Source organism: Homo sapiens, chromosome 5, assembly GCF_000001405.40.
Source record: "Homo sapiens chromosome 5, GRCh38.p14 Primary Assembly".
Lineage (NCBI taxonomy): Eukaryota > Metazoa > Chordata > Mammalia > Primates > Hominidae > Homo > Homo sapiens.
The window spans coordinates 172,588,724-172,604,487 of record NC_000005.10 but is presented as its reverse complement, the minus strand read 5'-3'; the positions used below and the strand labels follow the sequence as shown (position 1 = coordinate 172,604,487).

General features: G+C 49.7%; 3 annotated features.

Moving 5' to 3' along the window:
* Positions 1,403 to 1,981: an enhancer, noted in NCBI's record as "H3K4me1 hESC enhancer chr5:172029510-172030088 (GRCh37/hg19 assembly coordinates)". NCBI's record gives its function as "activates a minimal SCP1, AML or CMV promoter by ChIP-STARR-seq in naive H9 embryonic stem cells {active_cell/tissue: H9 hESC(naive)}" and the evidence as "EXISTENCE:reporter gene assay evidence [ECO:0000049][PMID:30033119]".
* Positions 6,623 to 7,545: an enhancer, noted in NCBI's record as "H3K4me1 hESC enhancer chr5:172023946-172024868 (GRCh37/hg19 assembly coordinates)". NCBI's record gives its function as "activates a minimal SCP1, AML or CMV promoter by ChIP-STARR-seq in naive and primed H9 embryonic stem cells {active_cell/tissue: H9 hESC(naive and primed)}" and the evidence as "EXISTENCE:reporter gene assay evidence [ECO:0000049][PMID:30033119]".
* Positions 8,485 to 8,984: an enhancer, noted in NCBI's record as "H3K27ac hESC enhancer chr5:172022507-172023006 (GRCh37/hg19 assembly coordinates)". NCBI's record gives its function as "activates a minimal SCP1, AML or CMV promoter by ChIP-STARR-seq in primed H9 embryonic stem cells {active_cell/tissue: H9 hESC(primed)}" and the evidence as "EXISTENCE:reporter gene assay evidence [ECO:0000049][PMID:30033119]".

The window sequence follows — 15,764 nt, the reverse complement described above, 5'->3', positions numbered from 1 at the left end:
TTTTTAAAAAAGTCTGCATATCTGATCTTCTCATGAAAACTTGGGCAATCAGTCACACATGGCAATCTTTGGTACCCTCATTGACGGGCATACATCCTTGAGTTCTGTGCTGGTCCCTGGCTGGTGAGCCTCACTTACTTATGGCCTCTGTCTTCCCCTGTTGGCGTCTGAGGCTGAGCTCTGGTTGATGGCAGCACGGATGATGCTGGGGTCTGGACAACCTTCCATACCTTCTTGAAGGTCTTCTGCCATCCTGTGCAAACTCATTGGGTTCTCAGCTTCTTGGGCATCCTTGGTTTTCTCATTTGTAAATTGCAGTGCTCTCTGTGGGAGTTCAGTTCCTCATGGAGACTCCTGCCCATCCCACCCCGTTCACCTAAGCCTTTCTCACCCTTCAGACTTGAGCCATCTCCCCTGGAAGGGCCACTGGGACCACCAGGTGACCCTTGTTCACACTCGCCCTCGTATTGTGCTGTAATGATTTACCCCGTGGTCCTGCCACACAGCTGTAGATTTTGCACATGCTTGTCGAATGAACAAATGAGTGAGGGAGTGAATGGGTTGAAGCTGCCTGGGTTCCAATAGGCCCAAGTAGCCTGGCTCCGAACGCAGGGCTCAGAATCCTGTGCTCTCTCCCAACATCATGTTGGCAAAGAAAGCCCCAGCCTGGGCCCTGGTTACCCTGACTGCCTCTCCAATGCCAGGCTTTGCTGACCGAGCCACCATCAGCCCAGCCACCCTCCCCAAGCTGACGTTCCGGGAGAAAGATGTCATAGTGCTAGACGGTCACACAAGCAGCCCCGTGCACCGTCGACTCCCTTTGTTGAGAAGCAGCCCCGACAAGGAGCTTTTCTTTTCTCCTCTCCCCGCATCCTCTCCCCAGGCCTCCCCCCTCACCCAATCCTCTCTTTAATTGCTGTTGCAGCGAGCAGGAAGAATGTCGTAGATGTTGCATCTGTTTTTCTGGAAGACTGTGAAGGCGCATTAAAATATGTGCTCCGTGGGCGTCTGGTAGGCTGAGGCCTCTCTCATGGCTTAATAACGGGGGAAAGAGCTGAGGAAAGGAAGAAATGAAAGGGATAGTGAGACAGACAGAGAAGGCGACACTCAGAGAACAAGAGAGAAAGAACACAGAGAGACAGAGATGGAGAGAGAAGAGAGATGGAGTTAGAAACAGAGATGAGAGAGAGAAATTGTGAGTCTGTGGCCATTGCCACGTTCCTCTGATTTTCAGCATTTTTCTAACAGAGATTTACGAAGGTTTATCCTAAACATCTGCGGCGTGAGGCCGACGAGATACACACTTGGTTATTTTTGGGAGCAATGGAGAACCGCTCACGGAAACCCTGCCCGGCCAGGGGCCCCAAGGCTGCTGGGACAGGGCTTGCCTGCCCCCTCCCTGTCCCCTCCCTGACCCCTGTTTCTTTGTCTTCTCCAAGGCACTGGCAGGAGGCAGGGCTAGGCTCTTTCCAAAATCCATTTGTCCCGGAGTCGCCTGGGCTGGGAAAGTGCCCTCCATGTGGGCCGAGGGGGCCTGGAGGGACACTGGGCACATGCAAGGGGTCACCAGGATGAGGGGCGTCTAAGGAAGCCTAGAGGGAGAAGGGAGGAGGGGAGGGAAGTACAGGAGGGTGAGGCAACCGTTGCCACGTCAGCCCCGCCACTCTGGCAGGACAAGGAGGGGAAGATGTCTGCTGAACACAGACCTCCTGCTGCTATCCCACGGGGCGACAGTTATCAATGCTCCCATTTCACAGACGGAGAAATGGAGGCTCAGAGAGTGAAGGGACTTGCCCGAGGGAACACAACCAGGGGGCCTTGGGATAGGGTAGAGTGGGTATTTGACACTTGGCCTTAAGTGACCATGTCCTGGGTCCCTCTCCCGACAGTTCCTGTTTCTGTTGAGGGATCTCTGTGGTTTTGGGGATGCTGACTCCACTGGGGACCTGAGATGAGCCCAAGGTCCAGGCTGGACCCATTCTTCCTTTTTTGGCGACAGTAGCTGGGACAGCAGGCAGGAGGCAGAGCTCCAAAGATCACGATGCCTGGACAGAGGGCTTGGATTGCTTCTTATGGGGGCAAAGTTGTAACAGGAGGAGCTCAAGCAGGGACTGGAGGGGGTCACAGTGGGGTCAGGCTAGGGTCTGGGGAACAAAGGCAAGCATTCTGATGGTATCAACCAATCCAGCTACTCTTATGGTGTCCCAAGCCAAAGTGTGACTGATTAAAAATGAATAATCATCCTAGATTTAAAGGCCTGGTCCAATTGCACGTCCATTTTACACATGAGAAACTGGGAAATAATTGTATTCAGTGCAATATTCCCAGAATGATGTCTTAATGTAGTTCACTAAGAAGAGGAGGTTGGGGGTCTGAATGACTGCCTGCACAACATACCTGCACTTTCTCCCCTTCCTAGTTTTTATTCAGCAACCCATCTGCTCCCCCAAATTCCCTATATTCCATGGAAGGCTGAGCTTCCACCCAGCTCTGGGCTGGATCCTATTGCCTTCAGGCCTGTGCCCTGGCTACAGGACTTTGTTCAAGGGCAGGAGTGGCCTAAACCCATTCAATCACAGTGAATCTCAGAGTCTTGGCAGGATGGTCAGGATGCTGGGGCAGGACACTCTTGCTGTCTCTCTGGATATGCTGAGGATGCATGAGGATCCCCCTGACATGTTAGAAGCCATCTGGCTACTTTAAGAGAAATCATCTTAAGGATGAAGCTCGGCCAGGCGCGGTGGCTCACATCTGTAATCCTAGCACTCTGGGAGACCGAGGCGGGCGGGTCACCTGAGGTCAGGAGTTTGAGACCAGCCTGGCCAACATGGCAAAACCATGTCTCTACTAAAAAATACAAAAATTAGCCGGGTGTGGTGGTGGGTGCCTATAATCCCAGCTGAGGCAGGGAGAACTGCTTGAACCTGGGAGGCAGAGGTTGCAGTGAGCTGAGATCGTGCCACTGCACTCCAGCCTGGGCAACAGAGCAAGACTCCATCTCAAAAATAAATAAATAAATAAATAAATAAATAAAATAAAAATAAAAAGGATGAAATTCACAGACACAAAGGAGGGTAGAGCTGAGAAAACCACTGAAAAATGGAGCTGGAGTCCTGATCGAGCCTCACCCGAAGCCCACCCATTCTTGACTTCTCAGCTATGTGAATCAATAAATCAATGAATCTCCTCTATTATCTTCATCAGCTTTAGTTAGGGTTTTTGTCACTTGGTTCTCGAATGATACAAGTGGTGTAGTAGGGTCAAGCAGCCGACCTGAGTTTGAGACCCATCTCCAGGGGTGGGATCTTGGAGCCTGTTTCCCCACCTGTAAAATGATGATGACAGCCCCTCCTTGACTGGGCAACTAGGAGAGACACAACATAATTGGCACCTCTAACACAGTACTCAGCACCTAGTATGTACTGGCTCCAGAATTGTTCCCTTGGGGTACAGACCAGTCCTGCTACTGGGCTTAAAAGAGGAGCCCCCTGAAATCTCATCCGATGGGTGCAGGGTACAATGCCTGCTTAGAGCCTGGGCAGGGAGGTGGACTGATTATGGTCCCTAGGGCGACCATCCTGGGAGCCTGGGCATGGTGCCCTAGCAGGCTCTCGGACCCGCCTCTGGTAGGCCAGGCAGCCAAAAATAGTTGCTTTGCTAGGTTTTGAACAGGAATCTATTTCAGGCCTGGGAAGGAGGACTTTTTGACCTGCCCTCTTGGACAGAACCACTCCCATGAGCTCAGGCAGACACATCAGCCCCCATGGAGCAAGGCCTGCTTCTCAAGGAGGGCTGGGCCAGCCCAAGCAAGGACCAGATGCAGGGCATATTTCCATTAGAAAAACAAGACACATGGTGAAAATTTGACATACTGTACTTCACAGTGAAAAGGGGGCCCTCTGTGCCTCCCACTCAATGCCCCTCCTTGAGCATCCCCAGCTGACAGTTTGTTGATGACATCTTTCCAGAGAGATTTAATGCCTACCCAATCATTTGCATGTATGTGGTTTTCCTTACATATTTAGAATCATACTCTACCTACCCTTCAATTACCTGGTTTTTAAATAGCCTTATTGAAATATTATCATACCGTAAAATTCACCCATTTAAAGTGTACAGTTGAATGGCTTTTAGTATATTCAGAGTTGTGTAACCATCGCCACAATCAATTTTAGAGCATTTTCAGTACTGCAAAAAGAAACCTGTACTTTTTGGCCATCAGCCACTAATTCCTCTATACTCCACAGCCCCAGGCAACCTCTAATTTATTTTCTGTCTCTATAGATTTGCCTATTCCAGACATTTCGTAGAAATGGAATCATACAATGTGTGTCCTTTGTGTCTGGTTTATTTCACTTTGCATAATGTTTCCAAGGTTCATCCATGCTGTAACATGTCAGTACTTCATGCCTTTTGATGGCTGAATAATATTCCACTGTATAGATAGACCACATTTTGAGCCGGGAGAAGTGTCTCATGCCTGTAATGCCAGCACTTTGGGAGGCCGAGGCAGGCGTATCATTTGAGGTCAGGAGTTCGAGACCAGCCTGGCCAACATGGTAAAACCCCGTCTCTACTAAAAATACAAAAATTACCCAGGTGTGGTGGCGCGTCCCTGTAGTCCCAGCTACTCAGGCGGCTGAGGCAGGAGAATCGCTTGAACCCAGGAGGCAGAGGCTGCAGTGAGCTGAGACCGTGCCCCTGCACCCTATCTAGCCTGGGTGACAGAGTGAGACTCGGTCTCAAAAAAAACAAAACAAAACAAAACCCAAAAAACTAAATAAACAAAACAAAACAAAACAGAACCAAAAAAACCAGAAAACATAGACCACATTTTGTTTATCATTCTTGAGTTGATGGATATTTGGGTTGTTTCCACCTTTTGGCTATTATGAATAAAGCTGCTATAAACATTCGTCTACAAGTTTTTGTGTGGACACACATTTTTATTTCTCCTGGGTTTGTACCTGGAGGTGAATTGCTGGGCCACATGATATCTCTTTATTTAACTGCTTGAGGACCCGCCAGGCCATTTTCCATGGCAGCTGTACCATTTGACATCCCCACCAGCAGCGTCCGAGGATTCCATCTTTCCCACTTCCTCACCAACACTTGTTATTCTCTCTTGGACTGTGGCCATCCCAGTGGGTGTGATGTGGTGACATCTCACTGTGGCCTTGATTAGTAGCCTGGCTTTCTCTCTTGTTGTATCTTGAAGGTTTCTCTGAGTCATAGACTCATTTCAACCTGTTCATTACTTACCTCTTATTCCAGCATAAGACTATATCCTACTTAACCACCGCCCTATTGATGGGCACTTGGATTATTTCCTGTCTTAGGCTGCAATGAACCCCTCCCAAGCAGACGAGGGACCCTGAGTGGGTTCTGCCCATGATTCTGGCAGAATGTTTGGAGCAGACCTCCTAGCCCGTGGCTGGGATCTCCTCAGCAACATGGAGACAGTTACCGGCCCTGGCTCTGCCCCTGATATGCTGTGGGAACCTGAGGCAAGCCACAGGACTTCTCTGGGCCTCTTAAAGCAAGGTTCCAGCTGAGTTCCCCAGCACATGGCTTTCCCATCCCATCCCCTTATTATTCTGGTAATCACCTGTGTCACCTTGGCAGCTGCATTAAAAACTATTTATTTATTTATTTATTTATTTATTTATTTATTTTTGCCACTCAGATCAAAGATCCTCTGCTACAGTTTCAAGACCTCATTCGCCCCTCCCAAAAGTCTTGAGACAGAGGCCCCGTGGGGGCTGTGGTCTGACTGGAGGCTGAGAGGGTATTCGACCAGCCCACCGACTCCCAGTGGGTGGGAGTCCTCCGTCAGAGCCAGGCTTCAATTCTGGCTCTGCAGCCTCCGCATGGGTGACCTTGGGCAGTGGATATCACTATGGTGCCCTCCTCCATAAAGCCAGGATGGGAACTGCTCTGGGAGGTCTCTGCTTGCCTCTCCAGAGCCACTCCCCACCCTTCCCCACCTGCTGTGAACCCAGAGCCTGACCTCCACAGGAGCCATCACCCTGGCCCCCCACCCTCTGTCTTCTGGCTGGGCTGGCCAGTGCCGACGGAGCTCGGAGAATGGGAGGAGAGAGGCTGCGGCGTTGGTTCCCCTGGCCCCTCCTCGACGGTCATTAGGGGGTGGCAGTGGCCACAGCTCCTGTCCAGCTCTTGCCAGTTTCATGCCAGGCAGAGGGAGGTAACAGCTTGGTACAATTGGTAGCCCCGGGACTCCTCTTCAACCTCCCGTTTCCTGCTGGGTCCCTGACTGATTTGGTGACCCTTTCTCACAGGCGTGAAAAGGATTAAATAAGAAAATGACACACGAAGGTCAGTCCTGGCCCTGTGCTCGCATCCAGAGAGCCCTCCCCACCTGATGGCCTTCCTCTCCTGGGGGCCCAGAGGAAGGTGCCGCTATTGTTCTTGGCCTCTTCCTTTGCCCATGAAGGCTGTGGCTGCGGAAAACTCCAGAACTGAGGGATCACGCTAGCCTAAAATCTTGGCGCCAGACGGGTCCTAGCAAATGGAAATAAGCTGGATGGAGAGGCTATGACTTGATTCCGGGGGAAGAAACTGCTCCTGGGCCTGGGCCGGCTGCCCACACGGTGCATCCCAACCCGCCACGTGCTCCTGGGACCTGCCAGTATGAGCGCTCCGCCCAGTCATCAGTGACACCCACACCCACAAACAGCACACATAGCACACCCCACACGCAGCATTATGCACACCGCATCCCAGGACACACACCGGTCACATTCTAGAGGATGTCACAGCAAACATGCTCTGTGTATCACACACACCTGGGTAATTACCTGTTCCCCGCTCCCCTCCCACACAGACACGCACCCGTCCTCAGCGTCCCACCAAGGACATGGTCACCACAGGCAGGGGCTGGGGAAAGCCTTGCCCTTGGTGCATGGAAAATCAAGCTCAGGGAAACCTGTGTCTGTGTGTGTGTGCACACGCGTGTGTGTGGTGTGTGGTGTGTGTGTGTGGTGTGCGTGTGTGTGTGCGTGTGTGGTGTGTGTGTGGTGTGCGTGTGTGTGCGCATGTGTGTGGTGTGCATGTGTGTGGTGTGTGTGTATGTGGTGTGTGTGTGGTGTGCGTGTGTGTGTGTGTACGTGGTGTGTGTGTGGTGTGCGTGTGTGTGTAGTGTGTGTGTGGTGTGTGTGTATGTGGTGTGTGTGGTGTGCGTGTGTGTGTGTATGTGGTGTGCGTGTGTGGTGTGTGTGGTGTGTGTATGTGTGTGTGGTGTCTGTGTGCATATGTGTGGTGTCTGTGTGTGTGGTGTGTGTGGTGTGTGTGTGGTGTCTGTGTGTGGTGTGTGTAGGTGTGTGGTATATGTGTGTGTGGCGTGTGTGTGGTGTATGTGTGTGAGGGTGGTCTGTGTGTGTGTGTGGTGTATGTATGTGTGTATGTGTGTGGGTGTGTGTGTGGTGTGTGTGTGTGTGAGATGTGTGTGTGGTATGTGTATGTGTATGTGTGTATGGTGTATGTGTGTGTGGTGTATATGTATGGTGACTGTGTGTGTGTGAGGGGGTCTGTTTGTGTGTGGTGTATGTGTGTGGTATATGTGTGTGTGTGGTGTATGTGTGTGTGTATGTGTGTGCGTGGTGTGTGCGTACGTGTGTGTGTGGGGTGTGTGTGGTGTCTGTGTGTGGTGTGTGTGATATATGTGTGTGGTGTGTGTATGTGTGTGTGGTGTCTGTGTGTGTGGGGTGTATGTGTGCGTTTGTGTGGTGTGTGTGTGTGTGCGTGGGAGTGTGTGTGTATGTGGTGTGTGTGTGTGTGCATACATGTGGGGGGGGTGTGTTTCCCTTACACCCTGCGTGGAAGTGAACCTTTAGGCCCAAAACAGGCCTAAGGTTGTGTCCTTGAGGCAACTCCGGTCTCCAGCCCACCCAGGACCCCAGGACAGATCCTTCCAGCGCCAGGAGGAAGGAGAAGCCTCGCCTGAGGAGGCTGGGATGTACCTGCCTCTACACTCCTGTCCCTAGAAAAGAAGCAGAGAGAAGAGTGCACCTGGGCCTAAACCCCCTAGTAGTACCGAAGCCCCTACACTGAAGGTGCCCTCCCTCCTGGCTGACAGGCAGCCCGCAGCACACAGCTGGCTTGAAGGGTCTGGGCTAGACTTTAGTCCTGCTCCCCTCGCATCTGGGTGCCTTGTGAGGTGAAGACATGCACAGGTACACACAACAGCCCCGACAGCTTCGAATTGCTGAGTCAGCATAGGCAAGTCACCTCACCCTCAGCCACAGTCTCCCCATCTGTAGAATGGGGAGAAAAAACGCTGACCATGCAGTCTTGTGGAGATGAAGTTACAAGAGGTGGTGCCTGTGGACGTCCTGGCCCACAGCAGGTGCTTGGAGATTTGGAGCTGGTTTTCCCTGGGACCCTTTAGGGCTACACAGTGCACAAAAGCCAGGGGAAGTGGGGTTTTGAAGGGACACAGTCTTGCAATCAGAAGGAAGGGGTCGAGGCTGCCCGCAGGCCCAGGACTGTGGACCCAGGCAGCAGAACAGTCAAGAGAGGGGCATTAGTTGCTTCTAAGCCTCCGCCTCCCAGTTCACCAGTAAAGTCAGCATCCCAGAAAGGGGAACGCAGCAAGCCCAGTCACCCAGGCAAAAAGCCTCTGCTAGCACCCACACTCCATCAGCCACCGCTAACAGCCCAGGGGAAAGGGATTATCACTCCCATTTTATAGACGAGGAAGTTGAACCAAAGAGAAGCCAAATAACTTCCTGGTCACAAAGCTTGTGAATTGCTGAGCAGAGATTGGGAGCTGGGTGTATTAACCATGTAATTCTGATGCTTTGACATCTGTGGCTTCGCTGACCCTGGAGACTGACAATGACAGGACTGGCCAATTCCTAGGTTAGTGAACCACTCCTCGAGAGCATGCCTTTCCTCTGCAAACTAACCAGCCCAGAGCTCACATCCACCACGTCTTCCATCCAGCTCACACACAACAGCCACTCTCCCCCTGCCCTGATCACACCAGGGCCAGGCAAAGACATCTAGGGACAAACCCTATGCTGCAGAACCCCCTTCAACTATTCCAACTAGTCAATCCTAAGCCTGCTTACCCTGCCTCACCCGCTCCTTCCTGCAGACGTGATAACAAAGGCTCTTGCCCACATTTTCCCATCTGTCCTTCTGCCTCTCAACTGGCCCTGGTGCTTTCTGTGTGGTCCTTTGGGGTGTGGCATCCCCTCTCCTCCTGAGAACTATGAGTCACAAACACACTTTCCAATGGAAATTAGCCCTGATCTGCTAGCCTCACCACACCTGGACAGCAATGACAAAACCTACGTTTTCAGACACCGGTAAGAGCTGATTCCCAAGACCTCAGCACAAACACCTCACCACAGTTCCTTTGCCAGGGCCTTGCCCGAGGACTCTGCCTCTGAGTGGGGCACAAATGGCTTCCTATGTCCCTGGCTTGTCTCGGCTTGGACAGCTGTGTGCCCTGAGCCTGCCCGCAGTGCCCAGCCCGGGGGCTTATCTGACTAATGTCTCTCCCTTCCACAGACCATGACTCCATGAGCGTGAACCAGGACTATTCTGCTCACCTTGTGTCTGCACACAGTAGGTGCTTAACAAACACCTGGGGTATCTTCAAGTCCATTCCCTCATCTGACCCTCACAGCAGCCCTCTGAGGAAGGCAGGTATGGACTCTCCGACCCATATTATAAAGAGGAAGGAAGGGGCCTAGCAAAGTGAGGAGGACTCCCCGTGGCCACATGGTGGGTCAGAGGCGGAACAGGAGCTGGAATCAAGGCCTGAGCCCCCAAAGCCGGCCAATAGTTTCTGGTGACTGTGCCTCATGGCTTGTGTCGCAGCCTGCACACTGGAGGAGACAGGTCTGCACTCAGCCATTCTGAAGACGGTAAAAGTGAGAGGTCAGCCTGGCCCTGGGGAGGAGACAGGACAGCAGGCTAGTGCTGGGGACCTGGGTCGTGATGCCCCACAGACCTTTGAAATAACATTAAAAAGAAGACTTGATTTATAAAAAGAAAAAAATCCAGCTAGGTGCAGTGGCTCACGCCTGTAATCCCAGCACTTTGGGATGCCAAGGTGGGCGGATCATTTGAGCTTGGGAGTTGAGACCAGCCTGGGCAACTTGGTGAAACCCCATTTCTACTAAAAAAATGCAAAAAAATTAGCCGAGCGTGTGGTGCACGCCTGTAGTCCCAGCTACTCAGGAGGCTGAGGCAAGAGAATTCCTTGAGCCTGGGAAGCGGAGGTTGCAGTGAGCCAATATCATGCCACTGCACTCCAGCCTGGATGGCGGGAGTGAAACTCTGTCTCAAAACAAACAAACAAACAAAACCCAAGTTAAGCAACAGTGGTTCTGCTTTTTTTTTTCCTGCTGTAGTTGTTGATGATCCCCAAAAGCAAGCTGGGCAGGCATTGCCAGGCTTGGAGTTCCCTACTCTAGCCCATCCTGGTCCCCTGCTTCTCCTCTGACTCACCCCCAGAGGACGGACGCCCACAGTTGCTCACAGGTTAAGTTCTGCAGCGTACTCCTTCACTTCCTCCCGCTGGTGCCTCTCCCAGTGTTGCTGGACATACAGATGAATGGATGGGCCGACGGAGGAACGGATGCACAGTTTCTTCACAAGCCTCCTTCTTCATGAGACCTTCCCTGGTCCTCCTGAGTAGAATTGCCACCCCTCCTGAGTCCTGGCAGCCCCACCTCCCACCTCTGCTGTCTTTTCCTTGCTCTCCACATCCTGGTAGTCCTTGGATAATACATCCCTTCATTACTGCCTTTCTCCCACCTGAAGTGCAGAGACAAGTTATCTTTCATTCACTGGCTCGGCCCAGTCCAGGGCCTGGTCCAAAGTGGGCCACAATAGATGAATGAGTGAATGAATCTGTCAGCCACTAAACCTACCCTCGTGGCCTTCGGACAGTCATCCCCCCCAAATGTCCACAGCCGCCCCACCTCGCTGGCCATCTGCCTCCCGCTAAAGCTGCTCTCCCACGCCCTTGCCAGGCCTCGCTGGCGGCCACCGTTCTAACCTTCCTCTTCCTCACCCCACACCCACGGCAGTATTTGGCCTGGGAAACCCTCAGCCCCACCCCTTTCCCTTCATCCCACTCTCCTCCTCATAGTCTCCCTCCCTCCAGTCCATCCTCGGGCCTCCTCTCAGCAGCCAGGGTGCTCTTCCGAAGATACAAAGCTGACTTGTCAGTCCTGTCATCAAAACTCTTCTCCATGCCTGGAAAGAGGCCCTGATTCCTTAACATCTTTGCAAAGGTCTCCATGATCTGGCCCTGCCAACCTCTGTGGTCCTCCCCAACCCTGAACCCACCTCCTCCGTGCTTAGTTCACTCCCAGCACTGAGCCACACCTCATCTTCCTCCCGAGCCTTTGCGCATGCTGTTCCCCCTCCTGGGGCATCTGACTCCTGCTGACCCTCGGGCCCAGACCGCTCCTGCTCCAGGAAGCCTCCCAGGACCCAAGGCTCAGCTAAATGCCTTCTGGGCTCCCAGAAATTAACAGCCTGTCAATTTCCCTTGGTCTAGCCCTGGATGCCATGGGGGCAAGGACCATATCTGTTCTGCTTTTTTCTGAAGTCCCTGACCCAATTTGTGCCCGGTACATTGAAGAAGCTCAGGACATGGCTATTATTTCAATCAAGCTGAAATCTACTGAGCTGAGCTGGCCCAACCAGGAATTCAAGATAAGACAGTAGAAGGCAGTTTTTCATCTTAGAATGCCAGAGATGGCTGCATCCTCAGGGCTTGTAGCGCCCAAGCCCCTCATTTACACATGGGAAAACTAAGAACCAGAAACAGTAAGCATCAGAGTTGGGACTAGATCCCAGAACTTATTTCTTCCAGTTCAAGATTTTTTTTTTTGGCTTTCTTCTTTTGAGACCATGGTTGCAAGAACCTGCTGGCTTTAGGAAGACCATAAGACAGCGTGAGGGAGGACAAAAAAAAAGCTCAGAGAGGTGAAGTGATTCACCCAACATCTCACAGCTAGGAGGTAGCAGAGCTGGGACTGAACTCCAGGTCTAATTGACTCCCGGTCCATTGCTCTTTGCCTACAGAACGTTCCATGGGATGTAAAGTTGTGTGCATATCAAGGGATAGGCTGACCTAAAATAGTATTATTTCAAGATCCTGTTTTCAGTCTGTATGTCCTTTCTAGCCCAAGCTGCATCCAGGTATGGTTAATAGAGTGCCAGGCTGCCCACCTGTCATCTCTTGCCCCTCCAACCTGGACTCAGGCAACTTCAGAAGTCTTCTAGGTGTGCATGAGACAGCCTATATCTTGTCTGCTGCCCAAACCAGGCTAATTTAAAGTAGAGATGCTTTTTTATTTCTTCTTTTAACTTTAAAAGGATAAAGAGCTCTTACAGACAACCCAATAGAAAATTAGAGCAAAGACCGTGAACAGGCAAGTCACAAAACAAGACACATCAATGACTAATAAAAGCCAGAAGACGTTCCTCAGCTGCACAGGCTCAATTGCACCGATCATTTAGTAAATAAAAATTACAACTTCAATCAGATGTCATTTTAAACCCATCAAATCGACAAATGCCAGGGTTTGCACACTCAGAATCTATAAAAGCCAGGCAGGTCTTGCAAATGGGAGAAAGAGCCAAGTGAGACTCCCAAGAGACCAGCTTCTAGAGGGAGCAGACCCTGCGTCCAGGTCATTATCTCGCAGGGATGGGCTTGGGCTGCCAGATTGCTCCACCTGTCAACCATAGTCAGAAATCAGATTTCCGTGAGAATATGACTTTTAATTGTTGGCAACTGCTTCAGAATTAGACCCAGTCAGTTCTACTTTTGGAAATAATTGGATGAATACACAGAGATTCATGCATAAGAATATCCATGGCAGCACTAACTATAATAGTGAAAGACTAGATGCTACTAGATGTCAAGCAATGCAGCACTGACTAAATAAAATATGATGCGTCTCCACAGCAGAGCACTAAGAAGATCTTAAAAAGGCTGGCGTGTCCCGTTGGGTTATTGTCAATACTGGAGGTCTTCGTGGTAGATAAGAAAGATCTGTTATAATTAGAGTAGCCAAAAGCTTTAGATTTGTCCAAATTGGGGCAAACCCCATTCACAAAAAAGCAGTTACAAAATAAAACCACTCAGGTTATATAATATCATGAAGAAAGAACCTTCAGGAGAAACCTTCATGAAATGGTGTCATGAGCAGATATCCTCTGCAGATGAAGCATTCGGAGCAAAGGATTGCAAAAAATGCTCATGTCAAGTCATTCAGCAGCAGCAAGGGATGTGAATGAACAAATGTCCTTTCGAGGAAAAGATCAAGGCTGTGAACAAATCTAAATGAATCCATTTGGTTGGGGGCAATAACAGGGGCCTTATTTATTTATTTATTTATTTATTTATTTATTTATTTATTGAGAGAAGATCTTGCTCTGTCACCCAGGCTGGCATGTAGTGACACGATCATGGCTCACTGTAGCTTCAACCTCCTGGGCTCAAGCAATCCTCTTACCTCAGCCTCCCAAGTAGCTGGGATCACAGGTACGTGCATCACAACCAGCTAATTATTTTTTATTTTTTGTAGAGATGAGGTCTCACCATGTTTCTCAAGCTGGCCTTGAACTCCTGGGCTCAAGTGATCCTCCCACCTTGGCCTCCCAAAGCATTTGGATTACAGGCATGAGCCACTGCACTGGGCCTAATGCAACAGATAGAATGCATAGGAAGTCCTAAAAAGGGGTGTGCCCAGCAACATAATGGGTGAAAGATGCACCCAAGTCTCACAAACCAGGCTCCTGAGTCATCTACCATTGGCTGGTATCTGCAGGCTCAGGCAGCCTGGGAAGTAAACTTCAATTCTTTGGTTGGGTAAATAAAATCCTAGCCCCAGGAAGAAACTAGAAATAACAAGAGATAGTAAATGAAAATAAGAATAGAAGTAATAAAAAGACAAGTTGAAATCCATGATGTTGGTCCTGCTATCACCAGTTATGGTGAAAGTGTTCTTGTCAGCTTTATCGTTATATAATTGTCTACTTTTCAAGATATTTAAAGCACTTACGAGAATTTGAAATAATAGATGTGTGAAGAGCTTATTTGGTTAAGTTTGTAATCAAAGCTTAAATGCTTGGGAACATCTAATTTATTAAATTCATAAGTTTTAAGAACTCAGCAGCTTAATTATTAGAATGTTAAATTTTTTGAGGAGTATTAATTATGGGAAATGAAAAATTAGACGTTGGGCAATGTACAAAATTGTAAGACTATTTCTTTCCGTGCACATTCCCTTGGAGTTCAAGAAATTGTCAATAGTTGGAAAAAAATGAAAAAAATTTAATAGCTGAAAAAGATGCAAAAAATCAACCCTACTTCATGCTGGGAAGAGTGCAGGGAACTGAGACTCTCATATCCCATTGGTGAGAGCATTGTTGCTGCATGTTAGTTTGATCCTAAGTATCAATACTCAAAAGGACCTCACCGTGTGAGGCAGCCACCACACTTCCAGGGTATACAACATGTAAAACAATCATGGTGTACCATCAGTTCTCATTGTTTGTGCCAGTCATGTTCTTTAAAGTTGCTGGGAACACCGAATTAGCAAACATCAAGGCACTGCTCCCAGGGGAAATACAGGGTTAGGGTCCTTTCAGCCTCTGGTCACAACACACTTGTCGAGTGATCAATACACCACCTCGTTGTATGTGTGTTTCTGTTCAAAGACACCTTATTTAGTGTATATTGCAGATTCATTCACGTTGAACTCATGGCCATCACTCAAACCTGAATGAAGCTTCTCTAACATGTCTTTCCTCCATAAGGCTCATCGCAGCCTTCTTGTGCCTAGGGTCACTAGACAGCACGTCAGCTCTGTGCTTGGGGCCATTTTAACAGTGACATCACCAACAAAAAGCACAAAAAATGGTGGCACTAAATACACTGCAAAAGGACGCTAATTTCCAGTGCGAGAGCTGACACAGGAAGGCAGAGCCTGGCCTCGCTCCACCTCGTCTGGGAAGTGCCCATTGGGTGAGGCAAGCTTTTGACTGCTCTGTGCGTATCTGAGAACGACTGTCAAAGTGCAGCAAATATTGCTTTTGGGGTTACAAATAAATTTAAGCAAGTAGGCACATTTGCCAAAAGGAATCTACGAAAAATGAGGATGGACTGTGTGTCAAAAAGATGTTAATGGCGACATTGTAATAATCAAACCATTTGGCTACTGGATAAGGTCTAAATGCTAATTAGTGGGACATTGGTTAGATCAGCACCATTGACATTTGGGACCAGGTAATTCTTCATTAGAGGGAGCTGTCCTGTCAATTGTAGGATGTTTAGCAACATCTCTGACCTCTACCCACTAGATGCCAGTAGCACCCCGCCCCTCAAGTTGTGACAATCAAAAATGTCTCCAGATGCTGCCAAGTAAGAACCTTGGGTCAGATAAACTAGGAGGCAGCCGTGCAATGGACTGCTGTGTCGCCTTTAAACCGCATGATGTCTAAATAGCTTGGGAAGATTCCCGTGACATTTTTGAGTAGAAAAAAAAAGACAGGTGGCAAAACTGGATGTATAATAAGATTCCATTTTTACATCTGAGTGTATTTGCATGCACACACGTAGAAGAAAGAGAAGAGAAAAGGTGAAAGCTTTTCTGACTTCCTGCTGCACGGGTGCATCTGAGGCCTTCACACCAATGAAATCTTGAGTTTTTCGGAGTCCACGGGAGACACAGATTTGAGGGCCACGAGCACTTCCTGCTTGGACT